Source organism: Homo sapiens, chromosome 1, assembly GCF_000001405.40.
Source record: "Homo sapiens chromosome 1, GRCh38.p14 Primary Assembly".
NCBI classification, from domain to species: Eukaryota; Metazoa; Chordata; class Mammalia; order Primates; family Hominidae; genus Homo; species Homo sapiens.
In genome coordinates, this window is record NC_000001.11 from 218,824,412 (window position 1) to 218,847,383 (window position 22,972).

General features: G+C 35.9%; 1 pseudogene; it reads right to left on the reverse strand.

Annotated features, from left to right (window-relative positions):
* Positions 19,351-22,972, reverse strand: part of NXNP1 (nucleoredoxin pseudogene 1) — a 38,790-nt pseudogene continuing 35,168 nt past the window's right edge.

Sequence of the window (22,972 nt, forward strand, 5' to 3'; positions counted from 1 at the left end):
GGTAGGGGTCATTGTCCCAATATAAGCATATTCATGTCAATCTCTACTTTTCACCATTAAAGTTGTTGCTTTTTAAATAATAACAATGGGTTTACCTGATGTATTCAAAGTATACATTTTTTAAAAATCTGTGTTTCCTAGAGTAATTGCCAAACCTAGCATACTACAAATAAAAGGATATTTATCTAGGTTGAATCTATAAAGACTTGGGATTTATTTAGAATTTACATACTTGGAGATTACTGCATATTAAGATGGCATAGCATCATATATATCCCTATATAATCATATTTATTGATTATTTTTATTTCTTCTTTTCTCCCAACTTTCACATCAAAATAATCACCAGGTTCATGATTATTTTGTGAATGTTTGTGTCCCCCCCCCAATTCATATGTTGAAACCTAACCCCAAGGCAATAATATTAAACAGTGGGGCCTTTGGGAGGTGTTTAGGTCATGAGGGTTCTATCCCAATGAATGGGTTTAGTGCCCTTATAAAAGGGGCCTGAGGAAGCTTGTTTGCCCCTCCTGTCATGTGAGTACACAGCTAGAAGGCAGTATCTATGAATAATAGGTCCTCACCAGACACTGGATCTGCAGGTGCATTGACCTTGGACTTCCAAGCTTCTACAAATACAAGAAATAAATGTGTGCTGTTTGTAAATGACCCCGTCTAAAGTATTTTGTTGTAGCTGCCATAATGGACAAAGACAGTCCACCAGCATCTGTTTGCTACATATGTTTCTCTCCCCATCTTTCCTGCCCTCATCATAGTTCAAGTCCTCAGCTTTTTTTTGGTGGCTGGGGTATGGGTTCTGTACCATTTTAACAGCCTTCTCATTGTTTTTTTTCTCCTTCTAGTCCTGCCATGTCATATCCATAAATACTGTGGTCAAGCTAATGTATCAAACTGCAAATTAGATTACATCTCTAACTCATAATCTATCAATTGTGTGATATTGTATATAGCAGTCTACCTGAAATAATAGTTATATTGGGACAGAAACTGCAGATAACAGTCACATGTGTGACATAGTCCAAGTAATAACTAATGCTATCAGAGGCTGTTCCATAGATAAAATTGACTTGATTGCTCCAACCATTATATACTTTTCTCTCCCATTTGTACGTGATCAGTCTATGCCAGCACCGATTTAGAAAATCAGATCTGAACTCCTTTTCACGACATTCAACACTAGTGATTGAGAAACCCCCAGCCAGACCTGGGCCTGCCCTCCAGTGATTTGGAAGTCCCCAGAGTTCCCCTTGTTGTCAGTTAGAACTCCATTCCTCTCCTTGTTGCTTGAAGTTTTCCATGAACAGATACCTGCCTTCCGGTCTTGCCATCACATTTCGATGGTACGTTTTATGCCATAATCACATCAAGCTCTCATGATTTGTTTGCCTGTTAGTCTCACTCCTAGCCTAAAAGCACCTCCATAGTATTTTCTTCAACTTTATTTCTCTGGTGCACTTAGAAATGTCAAAGCAATAACCACTTGAGATGAAAAAAATATCAGAAGGTATAGAAGTGACAGACACTTTCTGCACCTAAATATTTTTAATCTTCATCATGTTTATGGATATCTTCATGAAGAAATTAGGATAAGGGAAGAAAAGAAAGAAATGAAGGAATAAGTATGGGAACAAAACAATGAAAAAGAGTATGAGAAAGGGTGAATTCATCCTGATTTTGTATACCCTATCCCAGGATTCACCCACCCAATAATCACCAGACCTGTGCACACAACAAGGGTGGTCCAGCCATCCCAACTCTGCTGACTACAAGCAGGCTGATCTTGCTGCCTTCATGCTGTGTTCCTCCTCTCTTGCTCTTTTTGAGAACATGCCCAGCTCCTGATCCCTTGTCTTCATCTTCCCTTCCTGTTTTTGTTCCAATTTTGAATCTTTCTCAGTCATTGAGAACCATTTCTGCTGTGGCAGCTTGGCCATCACTCCAGACGAAACTTTGACAGAAAAGAAAAAGATTAAAAAAGTCAAGGAAGAAGAAATGAGAAAGCAAGGAAAAAATGAGGGAAAAGAAGAGAAGAAAGAAAAAGAAGAGAAGAAAGAAAAAGAAGAGAAGAAAAAGACAAGGAAGAGAGAAGGAGTCAAAGCATTTCATGGAGTTAATTTATCATTTTTCTCTCCACGATCTTTTATTTCTATTTGGATTATTCACTTGACTCTCATTTAGCATAAAGGCAGAAAATGTTTTCCTTAAATGTCCCATAAGAGTGGCTTGGATTTTTCACTCCATAGAGAAATCACAAAATTTTGACTCAATTGAATGTAACTAAAATTGTTCCAAAGAAGAATTATTATTAAAAAGCTCTTGGCTGTGAAAATGAGAGTAACTTTAGTCTGGAAAAGGATTTTTTGGAAAAAAAAAAAAAAACACACCCTCCTACTGCCTCTGAACTAAAGGGACACAAAAACCATGATAATAAAACAGGCCCATTCAACTTTCCATGGAAAGCTGTGACCCAAACACTTAACAAAGAAGGACAGTCTTGAATTAGCAGTAATGCTGGTGTTTTTTATACACACACACAAGAATGACTTTAAGGATACTTTTGTCAATCTTTTAGTCCTGATGAGCAAAGTTCATATTTTCTTTTAAAATTTTTAGGCTCAGGGGTACATGTGCAGGTTGGTTATAAAGATAAATTCGTGTCATGGGAGTTTGGTGTACAGATTATCTCATCATCCAGGTAATAAGTATAGTACCTAATAGGTATTTCTTTTCTGATCCTCTCTCTCTTCCCACCCTGCACCCTCAAGTAGGGCCCCGTGTCTGTTGTTCTCCTCTTTGTGTCCATGTGTTCTTGTTATTTAGCTCCCATTTGTAAGTAAGAACATGCGGTCTTTAGTTTTCTGTTCTTGCATTAATTTGCTAAGGATAACGGTCTCCAGCTCCATCCATGTTGCCACAAAGGAGATGATCTCATCCCTTCTTGTGGCTTCATAATATTCCATGGTGTATATGTACCACATTTTCTTTATCCAGTCTACCATTGATAAGCATTCATGTTGATACCATGTCCTTGCTTTTGTAAATAGTGCTGCAATGAACATAACACATGTATGTGTCTTTATGGTAGAATAATTTATATTCTTTGGGGTATATTATATACCCAATAATCATATTGCTGAGTGTAATTCCATTTTTAGTTCTTTGAGGAATCATCACACTGCTTTCCACAGTGGCTGAATTAGTTTACACTCCCACCAGCAGTGGATAAACATTCTCTTTTCTCTGCAACCCTGCCAGCATCTGTTATTTTTTATTTTTAAAAATAGAAATTCTGACTGGTGTGAGATGGTATCTCATTGTGGTTTTTATTTGCATTTCTCTAATGATTGGAAATCTTTCTTAATGATCTAAATAAGCATCTACCTTCCCTAATACACCTCAAGTTATTCTTTCTACAATGCTACATTTAACACAACTGATTGAACAGGGGTCTTTACATACAAAAAGAATGATCTAACTTTAAAAGCTCCATCCAATCGGACTTTTATATTCCAAAATGACTTTTAATTCATAGTTTCAGCAAATATATATTGAACACAAACCATGCAATAAGCCCTTTGCTGGGATGTAGGGAGATAGTCCTCTTTGAAACAATTAAAGTTGGGAAGTGTTGTCATTATTGCTTTTATTTCAATAGATAATCCATAGTTTAGGAATCTGAAGTATTTATAATTGAGTATAGAAACATAGATGAATTTTACATTTATAATTGGCAAGCACTCGAAATCTACTTAAAGAATGCTGCCTCCGTAGCATACTTCCTAAGTGAAACATGTAAGGAGATTGCCATTTAAAATGGACTGCTCTACCTTAGTGCTGGCAAATGTTGTGGATGTAACTTAATAACCACTTACAGAGTCTACAGTGTTGTCTTAGCCAGTGCAAGATGTACTCAAACACACTCTGAATGCAACTTGTTCTTTGCCTACTATGCTAGTTTTTTGAACTGAGTTCCATTTAACTATCTCATTAGATTAGTGAATTCTCTTCGTTTACTTTGTGAATCATGTGAACCAACACCCACAGTTCACAGCTTTATGTTTCCCCCAACACTTCTGCTTGCACCATTGTGTTGTAGGCTTACCCAATGTCAGTTGTGTTTGTTCCCAACTGTGTTTGTATCTACAGTCCTTGTTCCTATAATTAAGCAGCATACAAGGCAATACAATGTGAGCCCCCAAAGAGAGTTATAGTTTCTAATATTTGTGTTAAATTAGGTGCAGGCAAGTTGACTATAAAAGACTGGGAAAGATTGTAAACATCTTTAAGCATCCTGGGCTCAGATTGCTTTGCATGTCTGTGTAATTTTGGCCTCACTTTAAAGAAAACAAACTTGATAAATCATGGAATAATGCATTACAGGTGTGAGTATATGAGAAAGACTATGTGAGCTTCAATCAGGCAGACACACACACACACAAACACACACACACACAAGCCATGGGTCTATTTAAAAAAAGATGGGGAAATAAATGTACATTTATTAAATTCAAATAAGCAGTGGAGGGTATGTATGCATTACTTTCATGATTCTCTCCTTAACAGGCTCTTTCAATTAACCAGCCAACTGCAGGTCCAATTGATTCAGGCTAGGTGAGACCTAAAATTGGGGCTTAGTCTGGGAGGGCTTTTGACTTCACCTAGGAAAGAATTCAAGAACAAGCTTGTGATGTTAAATAGCAACTTTTATTGAAGTCACAGTGTGCAGCAGCAGGAGAGATACAGCTCCTTGTAGAGCAAGGATAGCCCACAGGCAGTATGCCCAGAGTAGCAGCTCAGAGGCAGTTTTACAGTTATATTTATACCTACTTTTATTTATATGCAAATTATGCGACGGTTTATGCAGAAATTTACAGGAAAAGAGTAGTAACTTCCAGGTTTCCCGGTTGTTGCCATGGCAAGGGACAGTAACTTCTGGTTGTTGCCATGGCAATAGTAAACTGTTTTAGCTAGTCCTTAAACTGGTTCAGTGTCCAAGCCTCATCTTGGAGTTGATCCCACCTCCTACCTCACTATTACTTTTACACTGAAATGCAGGGATGGCTGAGAAAGAATATAGTGTGTTTAGCAAAAGGCACACTGGTTTCTACTCTTCCCTCAGCCACTTTGAGCAAGGCACTTATTCTTTCAAAATCTTGACTTCTTGTTTGTAACCTAAGGAAAACAATACCTGTTATACCCACTTTACAGATTTCTTTTGAGAACCAAATGAGGTAATTAATGAAAACATTTTATAAATTCCAAAATGCTAAAAAATGTCGAATAGATCTGGGCTCTAAATTCCTAATGATAGGAACTGTGTCTTGCATAACTTTAAATTCTGAGAAAGCCCATAGAATGGCGCTTGCAGAGAGTTAAAATAATAAATCTTTAATACATAAGTTAATACGTGAATAATCTCATTCTTTTACTTTTCCAAGAAAGAACACACTGCAATGATGTGCTGCCAATAGAAACATTGTCTCCTGGCCTGTCCTTTCTGACATTGTGTCAGGTTGGCATGATGGGCCTCTTAGCAGTTGTCTGTATTGTGACTATTGTGCTATGTTATAGAGAAAGTACATGCCAACCTTCTTACACAGGTTTATGTGGTACAAGATAGGTATCTATTAAATTGAACTTATTGGGTGAATGAATGAATTAGGGATGAGTAAATGAGTTAAAATGGTTGGACTTTTTTGGGAACACTTTTTTTCTAAAGATTACTGTGAAAGCAATAGAAATTAGTGGTTGTTCAGTTAACAATAACTGAATAGCACTCAGGAAATATTTACTGAACATTTTTGAATACATGTGTAGATACAATGTATGAACATGGAGATAAACCTGCCTTAAAGTCACTAAATGTTTACACTAACAACAAAAGGGAAATTAAGAAGGCAATTTTATTTACAATAGCATCACAAAGAAGAAAATACTTAGAAATAAATTTGACCAAAGATATGAAAGACTTGTATGCTGAAAATTACAAAATTTTGGTAAAAGAAATGTAAAAAGACACAAATAATTAGAAAGACATTTCGTGTTCATAGATCAGAAAAATTAAGATTATTAAAATGTCAATATTTCTCAAAGCAATCTTCAGTCAATGTAATTCCTATCAAAATCCAAATGACATTTTTTACAGAAGTAAAACAATCCTGAAATTCATTTGGAAACACAAAATGAACCTGGACAAGGAAAGCAATTTGGAAAAAAAGAATAAAACTGGAGGCATATTCCCTGATTTCAAAACACATTACAAAGCTATAGCAGGCACAAGAGTATGGTAGTGGAATAAAAATATACACAGAGATCAATGGAACAAAATAGCTCCAAGATAAATCCATGAATATATGGTTGGCTGATCCTCAATAAGGGTGCCAAAAATATATAATGGTGAAAAGATGGTATCCTCAATAAGTGATGTACATGCAAAATAATGAATTAAAAATTATCTTATTCCATATACAAAAGTCAATGCAAAATAAATTTAAAACTTACATGTAAAACCTGAAGTAATAATACTCTTAGAAGAAAATATAGGGGAAAAGCGTCCAGACTTTAACCTAGTCAATGTTTCCTTGGCCACAAGCCCAGAAGCACATGCAACAAAACAAAAAATATACAAGTGGGATTACTTCAAATTAAAAATCTTTTAAACGACAAAATGTAAAGTCAATATATGCAAAGGGAGAGAATATCTGCAGACCATATATCTGATAAAGGATTAATATCCAAAATATATAACTCCTATAACTCAATAGCAAAATGTCAAATAACCTGATTTGAAACAGCCAAGGGGGCTGAATAGACATTTCTCCAAAGAAGACATACAGATGACCAACAGGTATATGAAAAAGTGCTCACCGTCACTAATCATTAGGGAAATGCAAATCAAAACCACAGCTAGATATCGTTTTTCACCTGTTAAGATGACTATTATCAAAAAAAACAAAGGACACAAGTATTGGTGAGTGAGCAGAGACAAGGGAACCCTGTACGTTGTTGGCAGAAACTTAAATTGGTGTAGCCACTATGGAAACAAGTATGATGATTTCTTAAAGAAATTAAAGATGGAAATACTATTTGATTCATCAATCCCACGTCTGTATGTATTCAAAGGATTTGAAATTGGTATGCCAAAGAGATATCTGTCCTCCATGTTAATTGCAGCATTATTCACAATAGCCAAGATACAGAAACAACCTACGTATTCATTGCTGGATGAATGGATAAAGAAAATGGGGTGTATATACAATGGAATACTAGTCAACCATAACAAGGAAATCTTGCTATTTCTGACAACATGAATGAATCTGGAAGACATGATCTTAAGCAAAATAAGACAGACATAGAAAATCAAATACTGCATCATTTCATTTAGATGTGGAATCTAAAATAGTCAAACACACGGAAGCACAGAGTATAACGGTGGTTGTCAGGAGTTAAGGGGAGGGCAAAATGGTGAGGTGTTGGTAAAAGGATACAAAGTTTCAGCTATGCAAGGTAAATTAGTTCCGGAGGAAAATAAGGTATTAAGGGTGCCTTAAAACCATTTGCTACTAGTACTTGTAATAGAGTAGCTTTTTAAAAAAATTGAGAATTGTATCATGCACATGATAAAAAACTCAAACAGTTCAAAAAGCTATATAGTGAAAATAAGTATCCTTCCCAGACCATAGAACAGACGCTTTCCTTAGGGGAGCCATTGTTAATGATTTTTTTTGCATATTCTTTTTGAAATTTTACTTCTGCATAGAAACATATTTATATACTCCTTATATATTTTTGACTTACACACTGAGACATAAATATATTGAATGTATTTTGTTCCTTCTAAACTTAACAATGTGTCTTACAAAATTTTCCTTATCAGTATACATAGATTAATGTCATTGTGTTCAATAGCTTTACTATCACTCATTTAACTGTTTCCTCATTGATACTTAGTTTGTTTCACATTCTTTGTTATTCTGAAAATGTTTTAATAAATTAGTGTTTATGCACACACATGCACACACACACAGAGAAACTTGTTTATATGCCTGATAATATCTGTAGAATTAATCCCTAAATATAGAACTTTGGGGATAAAATTTTGAAATTTTTAGCCCCAGGGAGCAGAGAAACAGGCTTATTAAACTTATTTTTTCGATTTTAATGATGTTTGAGAGTTATCAGCCCTGCTGGGAAAAATAATCAATGGATTTTATTTCCCTTTAAAGTTAAAGTTGGACATTAATGGCACTTGGCACTTAAGGTGGGATAATACTAGACAATCAGTCTCAGCTCTGTACATGGGAACCATTTAATTTTAAGTGTAGGAAAGACTTTGTGGAAAATCTGAAAGACTTCCTGGAATAAGAATGTCAGGAGACCATCTTACTCTCTTTGGAAAATTCATCTTAAACGTGACAGAATTGATAGAAATGTGATTTTTTTCCAGTTATTTCATGTGTTATTTTTCCTTTAGATGGGCTTGTCTTTTTTTCCTAAATAGAAATGATTAATTGTTTTCTTCAGCTTTTCCTCTCTTCCTGGTTTATTTTCTGTACAGCTGTAAGAGGATAGTAATCATAAGAAAATTTACATGCATTAGCTATTCAATAGAGAAGAAATGTTCATACATGGGAACACTTATGGGTATATATAAATACAATTGATGAGCATGATTTTCCACTTTGTTTGAATGACAATGGTTTAAAATATATCAACCAAATGAGTTTAAATTTGGCACAGAAATGAATCCTTCTATAAATAGTCACAACGAGTTCTTAAGAGAACTCAGGATATGTTTTTTAAACGAATTTATTATTAGGAATAGTTTTTAGCATTATTAGGGCTGTGTCTATAAACACAGAGAAAAATGTTAGTACAGACTATTCCGTCCAAAGATGTTGGTTGAAGGAGTAAGTCTCCATTTGTTTGTATTAGTTCTTCTCAGCCCTTGTTGCACATTAAAATCATCATTTCAGTTTTTAAAATAATACAAATATTCAACCAGACCAATTGGATCAGAATTTCAGCCTGAGAAAAGGAGTAGCAGGCATCCACACTTTTAAAAAGCTTTGCTGGTGATTCTAATTTGTAGTTGGGGTTTAGAACTGCTGGCTACAGAATGATAAGAAGTAGCAATTTAGAATGTAACTCTTTTTGATAACTATCGGGACAAGAGAGTGAGTGTGAGATGGATCACCTCTGTCATTGCAGACAAATTTAGAAAGAAAATGACCCCAAGGGCCTGTTTCATTTTCCTGAAACACTCAACAAATTCAAGAATGTAAACATGGGACAGAGAAAAGATGTAAGGAGAATGTTAGTGGAGACCTCTTTGGAGCGAGCAGATGCTGTGCTGCACTTCCCATGTTCCCCAAGTGAAGGAAACATGGTGGATGCTACCTTTTACACTACCTTAATTAGGCCTGTGATTTCCAATGCATTTTAACACACAATTCATCAAATGCAAATAAAACTAAATTTGCAATCATTTTAACACACAATTCGTCAAATTCAAATAAAACTAAGTTTGCAACCATAGAATTTTGCTGAGCTTAGAATGTACTTTGTAATTTCATTCCGGTGAGTACTGGTACACTACATGATTGAGCTCTATACACTGTGTTGCTCTTTGTTGTTTGTCTACGTCTAAACATACAAAGAAAGACTTCAATGGGTATATTCAGAGAGTCATGGTAAATGTTTCTTGCCACTAAGAGACTGAAGACTGTCGTCTGATCTATGCAAGAGAGAGCTTAATTAGGCATAGACTGGAGTCTGTTTTCTACCAGCCAAATGTTCTGTTGGTGGACAACGGTATTGTAGCATGAGATTCAGTCTGTTTCTCAGAATTTATCAGGAAGCCAAAAGTGTTTACCTGTAGAAAATGGCAGTGTCATGGGAGAGAGGGCCTGCATAGTTCCTGAACCAAATGGTTGACAGGTGAAGTGAGCCAAATTCAGCAGAGAGAGGTTAGAGGTGTATCATCAGAAGGAATGTAGGGTTACAGGTGATAACCTAGAGTAGAGATACATCCTCCTGGGTCAGCAGAAGAGCAAAACCCCAAATAGCCCACAAAACCACCCATAAGAAGGAGTTAACCAAAGCTATCTCCCAGGTCTCCATTTTAACCAATTGCAAGAAAGAGAGAGAGAGAGAAAGAAAAAAAGAGAGACAGAGTGAGCATGAAGCCATTCAGCTCGGTAAAAATTGGCTTATTCCTGATCTTCATTTCCTTTCTCTTACAACAATATTGAAAAGAAGAAAAAGAACTAGCAAATACAAAAGGAGGTGAGCAGGAAGAGGAGGAGGTAAAGCCACCCATGTCCTCTTTCCCACTACAGGCTGCCAGCTTGAAGCCTGCCCCAGTTGGAGAGAGGAATTTAATGTTAAGTAGACAGTGGAGTTTGTACACTTTCCCTATGTCTCTTGAGCTTGTGGAGTACAGCAGAAAGTAAAGACTGAATTTTAGTCCATTGACATTCCAGATAATAATTTTAGTCTTATGGCATAATCATCCTTTTACCTATCAGACCTTTAGTGCCCTTGATCCCAAATGTCTTCTTGCTTCTTAATCTGTGACCTTAATTTAGTTTCTTAATCTATGTTGCCTACTTCTATTTGACATCTAGTACCTTATTTCTTTTCAACTCTTCCCTGAGAACTCCAATTTCTCATTTGCTTCCCATTCTGATAGGCAGTGACTATTTTCCAGTGACTCCTGTGCACATCCAAGTCCTCATCCTCTGCACTGCCAACCCTCACCTGAAGCTACATGTCTCACCATGGAATAAAACTGGACTGTTGATTAGCTGATTTACTTTCCAACTTATTTTGTTAGAACTTTGGAGATGTAGACAAACAACAAAGAACAACACAGTGTATAGAGCCCAATCATGTAGCGTACCAGTACTCACAGGAATGAAACTATAAAGTATATCCTGAGCTCAGCAAAATTCTATGGTTGCAAACTTAGTTTTATTTGCATTTGATGAATAGTGTGTTAAAATGGTTGCAAATTTAGTTTTATTTGCATTTGATGAATTGTGTGTTAAAATGCATTGAAATCATAGGCCTAATTAAGGTAGTGTAATTTTTATTAAAAGCACATACAAAATTAGGTACCTTCGCTTATACATGTTTACTTTGCTTTTAAAATGGCACAAAAAGCAGGCTTCAAAATGTTAACAACACTCTGTGATCAATTTTTTAAGGGCTTCAATTTTGAACAAAAAAGGAAACTCAGCTGATTATTGCAAAGATGACTTTTATATGCCTGCATAGTGTAATTCTTTAGTACTGGAAATTACATTCTTATTACTCGCTATAATATTTGCTAGTCTCTCTTGCAAACTGCTTTAGACTGGCTTTCTGAGCCAGTGTCAAATGAGACCTCTAGGGAAGGCTCAGCTGCAATGTAAAAGGCAGCAATTTTAGTTCAGTATTGTATTTTTTATTCCTATTATGTAGAATGCTAATAACAGAGACATAAGATGTCACATACCCATATTTTAATGAGAAAATTGGTAATTGTGACATTTTGTTAATTCACACAATCTTTATTAAAAGTACACACAATTTTAAGCAATGAGGTGTAGATTATCACTGTTAATTACCTATCCGTGAGTAGTAAGATGATTCTTGTATTCCTGCCACATTCATTCATTAATTCATTTAACAATCATTTATTGATAATCTAGAATGTGTCAGGCATTGTGCTAAATGTTAAGGATATAAAGTAGGGTAAGATACTATACTGCCTCTGTTCCTCAGTCTTGGTGTTTTTGCAGAGAATGGGTTGTAAAAGGTAATTTCAGTATGTGGCAAGTGTTAAAAGTGTGCATCAACTCCAGTCATAGGACAGAAAAAGGCAGGACACATTGTTTGGAATGATTTGGGAGGACAATGTTTCAGAGAAAAGAAGATCCTCGAATGAGTTTTCTAAGACAGAGTGAGTATTCTAAGGCAGATATGGCGATGGTGAGAGAGGCATTGCATACCATACAAAGGAGCAGCATGGCACCTTCAGGAAACTGTCAGTCATTCACTATGACAAGAGTTAAGGTATGACAAAACACTCAGAGATACAATGAAAACTGAAAGCAAGTCTTGGATCACAAAGTATATTTTACGTATTCTATAGAATTTAATGTTTATGCTACAGGCAATGGGGAGCCATAGGACAATGTTTAGAATAATAATACCATTGTCAAATTTAGATCATTCTGAAAGCCATATGGAAGATTGTTTAAAAACTAAATTTTTTTTTTTTTTGAGACAGAGTCTCGCTCTGTCACCCAGGCTGGAGTGCAGTGGCGCCATCTCGGCTCACTGCAAGCTCCGCCTCCCGAGTTCATGCCATTCTCCTGCCTCAGCCTCCCTCCCGAGTAGCTGGGACTACAGGCGCCCGCCACCACACCCGGCTAATTTTTTGTATTTTTAGTAGAGATGGGGTTTCACCGTGTTAGCCAGGATGGTCTCAATCTCCTGATCTCATGATCGGCCCACCTCGGCCTCCCAAAGTGCTGGGATTACAGGCGTGAGCCACCACGCCCAGCACTGAAACCTCAAATTTATATATTTCAAACCTGTGGTCAATTGACCTATAGATTCAGATCATCAGTTAAATTCTGGAATTAAATGCAAAACTTACGTGCCTGTACACTTTTTGAGGGAAGTTCCATAACATGCATCTGACTTTGAATTACTAAAAGAGGGTGATGTTGGAGGCCAGGATGCTGGGTGATAAACCCATCCTGTTTTGCCTAAAACTTTTCTGGTTTTAGTAATAAAAGCCATGCATCCTGGGAAGACTGCCAATCCTAGGGAAACCAGGACAGTTGGTCACCCTACTGGGAAGTCAGTTATAAGACTGTGACGATAGTTGCTATGTAAGGAAATAAGAAACTTCAGCTAGAGAATAAGAAATGATCTTGAGAGATATTCCACAAGACTTAGTGTTTAATGGGTTTAAGGTATGGGAAGAAGTAATGAATTGAGATAAAGCCTGTATGTTTAGCTCTAGTTACTATATTTATGTGGTTGCCATTAAACAAAGTGTGTGTGTGTGTGTGTGTGTGTGTGTGTGTGTGTGTGTAGGAGGGTTAGTGAAAATGACCTCCATTTTGAACATGTTGCTGTTAAGTATTTCTGAGACATTCTGATGGAAAAACCCAATGGGAAGTGAATATATGAAATTAGAGTTGTAGGAAATATATATAGAATGGATATGTAATTTTGTGAGTCATTATAATTTGAGTATTAATTGAAGAATTATTCTGGGATGATGTGTACAGTGAGAAACCATGGACAAAGAGAATATCTAGAAACAGGAGTTACTAGATATAAAGGCATCTATAGGAAGAAAATCCGGCAAAGGATGTGAAAAAAGTCTGCTCAGAACTATAAGCAGGTAACTAGGAGAAACTACAGTCTTAGAATCAAAGAGAAGAAAGATTATAGTTATTATTTGTATCTTCTGAAGTTTTAAATATCTTTCTGGAAATGCTAGCCAAAGTAAATAATGAGAAAACAATTGGAATATAAAAACTGCAAAGAAGGAAATAAAATATCATTACTTGAAACACATATGATTATACACCATACTTAGAAAATCAGCTGGGAGAATGATTGCCAAACAATGAAAATTTAATAAGCTGACTAGATGCAAAATATGTCCAGATACCAATAGTTTCTGTTTATGTAAATAATAAAAAGTTGGAAGATTTATGGGAAAAAAACAATCATCTACAATAGCAACAATGAGTTAATAATGAATTCTTATTATGCACTAGGCATTCTTCTGAGAGCTTTCACAGGCTTGTAGTACAAATGAAGAAATGGAGGTAAAGCATTTAATTAACTTGTTCGTGTTTCTACAGCTAGTAAGTTTTAGAACCATAATTTAAATTTAGGGAGTCTTAATCCACAGGCTATGGCTTTAACTGCTGTAGTATGTAGTCTCTTCAAGAAAAAAAAGTCTCTTTAAGAGAGAAGTAGTAAAGAATATACTTAACAAGAAACACATAAAATCTGTATGAAGAAAATATTCAAATGCTACCAGTGGAGAAAGGAAGTCTTAGACAAATATAAAAGCATATCATATTTTTGAATAGGAAAATCTAACATCATAAAACAATAAATTCTCTCAAAATTAATCTATAAATAACACTTGATTCCAATAAAAATAACAAGGCATTTTTCTGTGGAATTAGTTTTAAACTTAATATGGAAAACTTTAAAAGGAAAATTCAGAAGAGTATTTTTGATAAAAGAATAGCACAACAGATATTTTTAAATGATTAAAATGTTTAACAGTAAAATGAGGCAGTGTTGGCACATTAGCAGACAGACATGTAAATGGAGCAAACTAGGAAGTCCAGAAATAGGTAGAAATACTTAGGGATTAGCATATAATAAAGGTGGCATCATATAATATATGTCAAATATCTGTGGGGGAAAAGATGGATAATTCAATAAATGGTGCTTAGATAATGGGGAAGCCATCTGGACAAAAATGGATTCACATTTTGTCACTGAAACTAATTCAAGAAAATTGAAGAGTCCACAGTAAAAAATATAAAATCATAAAAGTAATGGAGGGAGAAAACAGTTTATAATTTCAGAGTATGAAAGACCTTTATGTGTGTGACACAAAGACTACAAAAATCACATTGATAAATACAGCTACAAAAAATTAAGACAGTTTATCCTTACCAAACTATCAAAAAGAAAATTAGAAGACGGATGATACAACAGGAAAACATAACAGCTGTCTTAGGTCATTTCCTATTGCTATAAAAGAGTACCTGGGACTGGAAAATCTATTTTAATAATGAGGTTTGTCTCACAGCTCTGAAGACTGAGAAGTTTCCATACTGGGTGGCTGCATCTGGCGAGGGCCTCATGGTACATCATAGCATGGCAGATGGCATCACGTTGTTGGGAGCCTGTGCAAAAGAGATAGAACACAAGGGGCAACCTAGGTTTATAACAACCTACTCTCAAAGGAACTAATCCAATCTTGCAATAACTAACCCAGTATTGTGAGAAAGACATTAACCCATCTTAATGACCTAACTACCTTCTACATGTCCCACCTCCCAACACCATTACATTGGCAACTAAATTTCAACATGAGCTTTGGGAGGGACCATAACAACAACTTACAAAAAATATGCAACTTACTTTTTAAAAATAACTCTTACAAATCCAGAAGATCATCAACCAAAAAGAAGAATGAGCACATGATACAAACTGAGAGACTATTAAAATGTTAAAAAAGAAATTTAAATTCCCCTGAAATAAAAATACTCACTCTTACTCATATTAAAATAAATTAAAATTTAAAACTATGCAAAATTATCAGATTATCAAAGATTCAAAAGTGTGATAACATACCATATAGATGAGGATGAGGACAAAGAGGCACTCTCATACCTTACTAGTGAGAGTGCAAATTCATACATTCACTGTGCAGGGCAATTTGTCAATATCAAATTTAGACTTTAGAAATGAGTATATCACCTATCATGAAGAGTGAATAGAAAGCCATTTGGTTCATTCTTCCCACTGGAAAGAAACAATAACAAAAATATGTGTCTAGAAACATCTAAACATTTTTGAAAATAATTCAAGAGGTCAAGTAAGGAAATGTTAATCCAAAGTGAAGAAAAAATAACTAGAGAAATGAGTACTTAAGCTAGTTTATTTTGAGAGCATTTGCAGAACCTGGTAATGTTATTTTTAATCTTGATAGCCTTACCAAGTGATAAGGACAGAAATAAAAGCAGAAGACACCTTCCACCTGCCCACACACACGGAAGAACCAAAGGACCATGGTAAGGTAAGGGTTAACTGAATATTCCCATGAATCATTTAAAATCCTTTTGGGGGCCAGGTACAATGGCTCATGCTTGTAATCCTAGCACTTGTGGAGGCTGAGGTGGGAGGATAGAAGGATTGCTTGAGGCCAGGAATTAGAGATCAGTCTTGGCAGCATAGTAAGACTTCATCTCCACAAAATAGTAATAATAACAATAGCCAGCTGTGGTTGATCACACCTGTGGTCTTATCTACTCAGAAAGCTGAGGTGGGAGGATCGCTTGAGCCCAAGAGTTTGAGGCTGCAGTGAGCTATGATGGCACCACTGAATTCCAGCCTGGGTGACAGAGTGAGACCCCATCTCTTAAAAAAAGAAAAGAAAAAAAGGAAAGAAAAATGAAAACCACCTTTGCACCTTGATTTGAGGTGATCCCAAACTGTAAGAGATCCAGCAATCTGGCAGGAACAATAGCAAATTATATCTAGATAAATATTCACATATTGTAGGCCTCAATAATTATTTCTATAAATTATTATTTTATGTAAAACATGTAACATACAGCAAAGATAACCAGGCATACAAGGAAATTATACTTGATAAATGGAGGCCACTGTAAAGAAACAAAAAAATAGAAACAGTCTTGCAAATATTCAGATATTGAAATTACCAGACACAAAAAATTAAGTGTTTTTAAAAGATTGAATACATCTGCAGAGAAATCAACTATAAAATAACATAATAAACTTAAACAAATATGATTTCCAGAATTTAAAAAAAACTAAAATTTAAAACTAAATGGACAAGTTTAACAGGCGAATAGACACAGCAAAAGAAAGAATAGATGAACTGAAAGGTAGGTCAGACAAAATGTCTTAGAAAACAGCACTGATGTTTGAAAAAACAGCAAGGCATTCTCTTCTATATAGTCTCTTGTACAACCTGTGGAACTGTGAGTAGAATAAAGTGAGAAATGATAACATAAGCTTAATCAGAATCCCAAAAAGAGAGGAGCGAACCAAACGGAAGAGACAATATTTGTTAAGATAATGGCTGAGAATTTTTCACAACTAAAGAAAAATGCAGATCTACAGATAAATAAATCTCAAACACAATAAAAAAAATTTCCATATCTATTCTCTTGCTACTGAAACTCCAAGATATTAAAGACAAGGAGAAAACAAAAATCTATAAATCAGTAAGAGGAAAAAAAAGCCCTCTTTACCGTCAAAGGAGCAACAACTAAACAAAGAAGTGACTTAGCAAAAATAAGTCAGAAATCATTACAATAATATATGTTCGAAAGAAAATAGTGTCTGGGCACAGTGGCTCATACCTGTAATCCTAGCACTTTGGGAGGCCAAGGAGGGTGGATCACCTGAGGTCAGGAGTTAGAGACCAGCCTGGCCAACATAGCGAAACCCTGTATCTACTAAAAGTACAAAAATCAGCCAGGGTGGTGGCAGGCACCTGTAATCCCATCTACTCAGGAGGCTGAGGCAGGATAATTTCTTGAACCCAGGAGGCAGAAGTTGCAGTGAGCCAAGATCATGCCATTGGACTCCAGCCTGGGCGACAAGAGAGAGACTCCATTTCAAAAAAAAAAAAAAAAAAATCTACAAATTTAGATTTCTCTTCCCAGAAAAAAAAAATCCATCAAAAATCAAAGTAAAATAAACATGTTTAGATTAACAAAAACAGTAAGTTTGACATTAACATATCTACACAAAGGAAAATTCTAAAGCATGTATTTCAAGTAAAATAAAATGATCTCAAAGGGGGTGTCCAAATTGCCAGAAGAAGTAAGAAAAGAGAGACTTGTAAATATGCAGGGAACTTTAAATTAATATTGACTATATAAAAACAGTAATAGGCCAGGCGCGGTGGCTCACACCTGTAATCCTAGCACTTTGGGAGGCTGAGGTGGGCAGAAAACCTGAGGTCAGGATTTCGAGACCAGCCTGGGTAACATGGTGCAACCTCATTTCTACTAAAAATACAAAAAATTAGCCAGGCCTGGTGGCGGGTGCCTGTAATCCCAGACGCTCGGGAGGCTGAGGCAGGAGAATCACTTGAACCCGGGAGGCGGAGGTTGCAGTGAGCCGAGATCACGCAATTGCACTCCAGCTTGGGCAACAAGAGCAAAACTCTATCTAAAAAAAAAAAAAATTTAAATAAATAAATAAAATCAGTAATAATACTGATTGCTTGAATTTTAAAATAATTAAAATACACTATAATAACAGCATACTTTGAAAAGGTGGATAAATGAACTTAAAGTTCTCTATGGTTCTTTTTTTCCAGGTTGGATGTTAAAGTTATTGATTAATGTAAGTTAAAGATGCACATTGGCATTTCCAAAGTAAAAACTAAAAAAATAGAAAAGAAAATTACTTTCATGATGTATCACTGTGTAATAAACCACCTCAAAATTTAAGATTTAGAACAATACTACTTGGTTCTGTGTCCCCACCTAAATCTCATGTTGAATTGTAATCCCCAATGATGGAGATAGGAGGTGATTGGCTCATAGGGGTTGTTTCTAATGGGTTAGCACCATCCCCCTACTGCTGTCTTGTGATAGAGTTCTCATGAAATCTGGTGGTTTGAACGTGTGTAGCACCTCCCCTTCATTCTCTCTCTCTCTCTCCTGCCAGCAATGTGAAGATGTGCTTGCTTCCCCTTCACCTTCCACCATGACTGTAAGTTTCCTGAGGCCTCCCCAGCCATGCTTCCTGTACAGCCCATGTAACTGTGAGTCAATTAAACCTCTTTTCTTCATAAATTACCTAATCTCAGGTAGTTCTTTATAGCAGCATGAAAATGGACTAATACACTACCCTATGTCATAACTCATATTAAACTGTAGGTCCTAAACACTTTAGTAAAGCAAGGGAAAAAAATAAAATGTATAAAGATTGGAAAGAAAGAAGCAAAGGTATCATTACACACATATGATAAATATGTACATAAAAATCCAAAAGTTTCTAGTTAATTAATGAGAGATTTAATCAAGCTTGCTAGATATATCAACAGGTATATAAAAGCAATCATTTTCTATATGCTAGCAAAAAATAGATAATTTTAAGAAAAACTTACTTTAATATCAAAAGTATCAAGTAGCTTAGCTAGGAATTATTCTAACCAATTTAGCAAACAGCCAAGAATAAATAAGGTGTATTTGAAGAAGAAAGTATGGGTGAGAGACAGTCTTGCTTTGTAGATATGGAGATTTATAGAGCTATAGTAATTAAGATAGTGTGGTGTTGGTAGAGCAACGTAGAAATAGTTGGATGAAATGAAATAGAAAGCTAAGAAGTGGACCCACACATGTACAGATCTTAGTATATGACAAAGATGGCCCTGGAGGAGAGTTGGGGTGATGACAGTCTTTTAAAGAAGTGATGTTGGTAAAATCAGATATTCATATTAATGGTAAAAGTTGCAATCTCTTACACATACGTAATAGGGAGTTTTAAGCGGATTACATATCTGAACATAAAAAATTTTTAGGCCTGGCACAGTGACTCACGCCTGTAATCCCAGCACTTTGGGAGGCCGAGGTGGGCGGATCATGAGGTCAGGAGTTCAAGACCAGGCTGGCCAACATGGTGAAACTGCATCTCTACTAAAAATACAAAAATTAGCCAGGCATGGTGGTGCATGCCTGTAATCCCAGCTCCTCAGGAGGCTGAGGCAGGAAAATTGCTTGAATCCAGGAGGTGGAGGTTGCAGTGAGCCAAGATCGTGCCACTGCACCCCAGCCTGGGCGACAGAGCGAGACTCTGTCTCAAAAAAAGACAAATTTCAGAAGATAATACAGAGAAATATCTTCATGATCTGGAGGCAGAAAATATCGCAAACAAGACACAAAATCTATAGATCATAAAGCAAAAATTGAATACATTTATGACATTACAATATGAAAAAGTAGTTTATCAAAGTATAGCATAAAGTAAAATGTCAAGCCACAGAATAAAAATACTTATAATACATATATTTGACAGAAGGGTAATATTTGGAATATAAAAGAGGTATGATAAACCTGTAAGTAAAAACTGAAAGAAATAAAGCACACCCATAAATCATAGAGGAAGAGCTTGAACAGTCTTCATAAGAAAGCAAATCCAAGTTAGACTGGCAAAATTGTAAAAGAAAATCTGAGAATACCAAATAAGAGTGTGAAGTAACCAGTAAACTCCTTCATTGCTAGGAGTAACCTAAATAGTCAAACTCATTGGGAAATAGTTTGTCATTTCCTAGCAAAGTTGAAGATTTACATATTGCAAGCCTTAATAGAAGATTTATATATTGCAAGCCTTATTGCTTCTAGATTTATATTCTATAGAAATGTGTACTAATAGGTACAGGATGCCACACAGAAAAAAAAGATACATCAATCCTTTACCCAAAAAAGAGAAATCTTTAAACATAATTTTTATTGAGCAACAGAAGTCAGATCCCCCAATATATGCAGCATGTGATTCCATTTATATAAAGAATGAATGAAATTATATAATTTATGGTTAAATACATAGGCAGTTATACTGTTAAGACAAGCAGAATATGATTACTATAAAAGCCAAGATAATCGTCCCCTCACCCACCAACACACACACACACACACACACACACACACACACACACACACACACACAGGCTTGTGATTGGGAAGGGGATTGTAGAATGAGGAGAAGCGTTGAATTGCTTCTGGGAAGCTGACACCTGTACCTGAATGCTAGGTTAAACATCTTTCACTTTATATTATTATATTACATTATACATTTATATTTTATTCAGTTTTCTGTATTCATATATTTTATAATTTAAAAAAGATTAAAAAGAAGTGATTTTAAAAGAGGGTGAATGTTGAGTGCTAGTGACTGTAAAGTAGCTGTAAAAGGGACTTCGCAGGTACTGGTGGAGATTTGTTTGTGAAAATGCATCAAGCTGTACATTTAAGATTTGTGCACTTTCCACATAGGTTCTTATATAAAATGTTTTTCTTAAAAAATTAAATTACAGAGCGCAAAAGGAATCTAAGAAGGAAACGATCAGTGTAGATGGTTCTTTATATAAGCTGAGATTTGAATTGAAGTAAAGCTTAAAGAGTAGCTAGTGCATCACAAATTTTATGAATTTTTATTTTATAGAGGAGACTGGCATATTTATAAATGGTGCAGAAAACATCAGCAGAGGGAACTGAGGGAAAACAATAGAGAGAAGATAACAAATGGGCATGTCTCAGTTTTACAGGGAATAGGGAAGGAGGTAGGTGTACAGATGGAAAGACAAGTCTTGAACAAGGAGAGGGGTCCCTTTCCTTTGAAAACTGCGAGGGAGAAATCAGAAAGTGGGGTCATGGCAGGAACAGAGGAAATTATGATTTAATAGGCATAGGAGTAATGAATTTAGGTGTTTAAGCCCAGGACTTCAATAGAACATAGTAGCATTAACTGAGAAGAAAGATGTAGGAACTTAAAGAGGAGCCTGAAGGATTTGAAACCAAAAAATGAAGAAGTGGCAAAGGAGAATGGCTAGAGAATGATGCAAGGACTGTCGAGTTGTGCAGAGGGTCCACAGCACTAGGGAACTGTGCATTTAGAAGCATATTTCCAGAGTTCAGCAGTTATCTTCAACAATCTAGGGACAGGGAATGAGGCAGAAAATGATTAAAATGAATCAGGATTGAGAATCTTCAGGTAAAATTGAGTAGAAGTTGGTGCAAAAGCAGGTAGAAGTGACTGGTTCTGCTGAGAGGATGGCTAGTATGTGGAGGACCTGGGATGCTAGAGAAGGAAGCAACCTTGAAATAAAATGATCCAACCAGGAAACTGGAAAAGCTGATGGACTTTAGATCTGGGAAAAGTAGAAGAAAATGCAAACAGGGAAAAAACAAGTGAGAGAATTGCGTCAATATTGCATCCCAAATCAACTAACTCTTGCAACAAGTTTGAGCAAGAATAAAAAACTTCAATTTTACAATGGAATCTTCTAATTCTTCTCTGTAATAAAAATTATGCAGCCAACAAACATATGAAAAAACCTCGTCATCACTGGGCATTAGAGAAATGCAAATCAAAACCACAATGAGGTATCATCTCGTGCCAGTTAGAATGACGATCATTAAAAAGTCAGGAAACAAGAGATGCTGGAGGGGATGTGGAGAAGCAGGAACACTTTCACACTGTTGGTGGGAGGATAAATTAGTTCAACCATTGTGAAAGACAGTGTGGTGATTCCGCAAGAATCTAGAACCAGAAATACCATTTGACCCAGCAATTCCATTACTGAGTATATACCCAAAGGATCATGAATCATGCTACTATAAAGACACATGCACATGTATATTTATTGCAGCACTATTCACAATAGCAAAGACTTGGAACCAACTCAAATGCCCATCAATGATAGACTGGATAAAGAAAATGTGGCACATATACACCATGGAATACTATGCAGCCATAAAAAGGATGAGTTTATGTCCTTTGCAGGGACATGGATGAAGCTGGAAACCATCATTCTCAGCAAACTAAAACAGGAACAGAAAACCCAGCACCACATGTTCTCGCTTATAAGTGGGAGTTGAACAATGAGAATATATGGACACAGGGAGGGGAACATCACACAGTGGGACCTGTCGGGGGCTGGGGGGTTAGGGGAAGAATAGCATTAGGAGAAATACCTAATGTAGATGACAGGTTGATGGGTGCAGTAAACCACCATGGCACGTATATACTTATGTTACAAACCTGCACGTTCAGCACATGTATCCCAGAACTTAAAGTATAACAAAAATAACAACAAAAAAAGAATTAAAAAACCCTCTAGAATTAAGTAGAAGACATATTTGTAGTTATTTCAAGTAATAATTTTACACAGCTCCTTCTCTTAAGCACAAGACTTGGGGACAATATTCACTGAGACTCCACCTTATAAATAGGAATCCAAGATAAATGTCATGGAGGGGGAAGTAAATCTGCTAACAAAGAAAATGAAATCTTATGTCCCAAAGCTCCAATATCTATTTACTTTGGGATCATTCCCTAGGTCAGCCTGTGTCATGGCTTGCCTTTGCACTAGAATGGCTGTTTCCTGTGGGTTTTAGTATGGCTGGAAGATTAGAATTCTGCC